A 3,617-nucleotide genomic window follows, 5' to 3' on the forward strand; every position below is an offset into this window, starting at 1 on the left:
TTATTTCTAATTTGTAGTATTTCATGTGTTTAGGTTTTCTAGACAGTTGGCACAGAAGATTCAAGAAGTTTAATGTAGGAGAATGTTTAATGTAGGAGAATGAGGCTTTGGTGTCATCAATGAATGACTTGAAGTTTCTTATGTTGTAAAGAAAGATATGACCGTAACTGCCATAGTTAATATTTATTGTGCAAGTCAAATAAGAAGGCAGGAGGAAAGGACATCCATCACTCAATCACACACCAGTGTACTCATTAAAGCCTTTGAGAAGGACCCTCAACATTTTCCAAGAGAATTCCTTTCCTGGAATCACCATTATAGAGAAACTGGCTAAACAGACAGGCATTTCAGAGTCCAAAATTTACATTTGGTTTCAGAACCAAAGACCTCAGCTCCCAGGCCACAGCAGAAGCGGGCTTGTGAATTCCCTGGCAGCGGGTCCAAGACCAAGACCTCATCTGACTGTTTGGCTGGAACAAAACATGTGCACTACCCCAGGCAGGTCTCATCTTCTTCCTGCCTCCTATTCTGTCAGCAGCCACCTGTCATTTGTACCAGCTCTTCCTTCACCTCCCACAACCTGTGATTTTTTGGATCCCTCTGCAGGCTGTGTGAGCCAGGCACCAAGGGTCACGATGCACATAGCACCCTGGCTGTGCAGATGGGAGAGTTCTCTCAACCTCTTCTGGCACTTAGGAGTCATATGTCAATGGTACCAACTCTAGGAGGGAGGCTCTCCCATACACAGACTTGTTTCTGGCCTCAGTCGAAAGGAAAACTTTAGGATGACAAGAAAAATAAGACACTGGCCTGGAAGTTCTGCCTTAAAGGGACAGCCACAGCCTGGTCATCCTTAGCCACAATTTTAGAGTCTGGGTCAACAGGACACATCCCACCTTCAGAAGTGGTGGAGCTTAGGCAACGGGTCCCAGGATGCCATGATTCAATGGCAACCTGGAGCAGGAGCACCTTAGTAGCCCATGCACATAGGTCTACCTGTGGCAGAAACAGGCACAAGCCATGAAAGAGCCATCTATCTGCTGGAGCAACCACACCAGTCATCTGCATGATCTTCTACAAGTCCCAGAGTTTCAGGAAAAGGCACAATCTTTTCGGAATGCAGATCCACAAGAGGAGGGCCCTCCGTGGTCTGAATCACCACTCAGTGAGAAAGAATTTCAGGCTCTGCTTAACAGGCTGCAGAGCTCACCAGGGGATCAGCTTTAGCAGGCAGGCATCCTTCTCAGCACTGCCATCCAGGACTCTTTCCCTTGGACACAAACAGCAAAATGCCAGGAAGACGGGACCAGGAACACAGTGTGGTCAGAAGCAAGACTGATGCAAGAAGCAACCACTTGGAAATCCAAAGGGAGCATTTTGGCCCTCTCCTGTGGGCAGCCCTCAACTTTGGTGCTCACTTCCTAACCTCAGTGACGGTTTCTGAGCTTCATCCTGCCTCTGGAGTCCACATGGGCTCCAGGCGGTGAACAGTTTCACTGAATCCTGATGCAGCAAAGCAGCATTCTCATGACAAACAGGACCTCTTCACTTTGATCATAAGCTCCTGGGCCATCTGGACAATGCACAAACTGGAAACCCAGCAAGGGGAGGAAAGTAGCTCTAAGGGGGACACATTCCCACTTCTTTCCCTTCTAGCAAGTTTGAAAGCTAATTGTAAATGCAGGTGGATATGTAGAAAATGAGGGCATGCTATAACTTCTCATCACATGAGGTTATGACCAGGAGTTTTTAATCCTAGCTCTGAGAGCTGCAAATGGGAATTGGAAGTTTTTCCACTAAGCATCTATCAATGACTGATTGTGCAAGCTTATCTTCATCATGCTGAGGAGTCTTCACTGAGAATTTTCCTATTGAACAAATAAACATAGAGATAGTGACAAGTAGGCCAGGCATAGAGGCTCACGCCAGTAATCCCAGCATTTTGTGAGACCAAGGTGGGCAAATCAGTTGAGGCCAGGAGTTCGAGACCAGCCTGGGCAACATGTCAAAACCCCGTCTCCACTAAAAACACAAAAAACAGCTGGGCATGGTTACTCATGCTGGTAATTCCAGATATTCGGGTGGCTGAAGCCTGAGAATCTTCTGAACCCAGGAGGCAGAGGCTGCAGTGTGTTGATATTTTGCCACTGTACTCCAGCTTGGGCAACAGAGCAAGACTCTGTCTCAAAAAAAAAAAAAAAAGAAGCAAGTGAGTAAGAGAGAGAAAACTATAAAATCACTGAACAAAGTGTAAAGATGTTAATTTTCCCACAACGTTAGAAATTTTGTGTATATTTACATGCATATCTACACATAAAGCTGATCTCCTTATATGTTAAATCAGTTACATGTTCAGTGAAAAATACATTATTTTCTCTGTTTTAACACTGAAGAGGGGTGCACGTGGTCCAGACATGTCCTGTTGGAGTTGAATGGGGCATGTTCTGGGAAAAGGGGAAAGGCAGAGTAAGGGCCTGGTGCATTTAGGTGGGGTAAAGTGGGACTCTAATAGAGAGGCATCCAGGGTCTGGGCCCTAGCAACACTGAGGCTCACGGGGGCTTCTGCAGGTGAGGGAAATGGTGCAGGGTGCTGAAGGCTAAAATATCCTGTAACAGGCGAAGATCTGGCCAGATCGTCCTGCATTCCAGCATCATTGCCAGCCAGGCCTAACTTGACCCTATATTGAAGACACCTGGGATGGACAGGCGTGAGCCTCCAGGCTTCAAAGAGCCCCCAAATGAGATCTGCCCTGCGGCAAGGGTCCAGACCGTTACGGCCAGGCCAATTTAAAAGAGCCCCATCTCCTCTGTTCTCAGAGGCTTAAGCGGGTGGAGAACAGATAAGAAGTGAACTGAAGTCTCCTTGAAAAAAACAAAGTCCCATGGGGTTTGCCACCCCCTCCCCCCACCCACCTAAAACTGGAACCAGTCAGCCACCTCTGTCTCTTCTCCATGCCAAGAACCTCTGTTCAGGGCTCCTGGCAAACCCCTCCTCCCTGCTGCCTCCCCGCCACAGTACGCTTGCCAGGAATGCCCGAGATCTGGCACCTGAGCATGTTGCGTGGCAGGCGGGGGAGCAAGCGGGACAAGGGCGGCGATGTGTCCTGCACAAAGGCCCAGGCTGCAGACCAACTCGCCTCGCAGCAGGTAGCAGCTGTGTGCCCCCTGCCAGGCCACTCCCCCTCCCGGAGCAGCAGCTCCCGCTGCCACTTCTGTTTGTTGAACACAGGATGTATGAATGACGGCTAGGGAGCCAAGGATGGGGATGGTGGCGACATCTGATACTGTTGTAGTAAAACTCCAGCCAAGGAACACGAAGAGACCTTTGGAGACCAAAGAGAACTTTATTTAATTCAGGCACCTGAGCCAACAGCAGGCTCATGCCCAAAATGGCTGCCGACCCCTGCAAAGAAAGCAGGCTTGCTTAAGTGCCGTTTGAGGCGGGAAAACAAGGCAGGTTACAGGTTTCAGACAAAGACAGTAAATTATCCAACCCGTGACAATTCGGAGAGAACTTACAATTTAGTTATTTTGTCCAGTCAACTTTGAAGCTGAACAGAGCTGGGGTAAGGGAAAACACGAATTACAGGAATATGCGGGGGTCTGGAGGCAGGCAA

The sequence above is a fragment of the Homo sapiens genome, chromosome 16 (genome assembly GCF_000001405.40).
Source record: "Homo sapiens chromosome 16, GRCh38.p14 Primary Assembly".
NCBI classification, from domain to species: domain Eukaryota; kingdom Metazoa; phylum Chordata; class Mammalia; order Primates; family Hominidae; genus Homo; species Homo sapiens.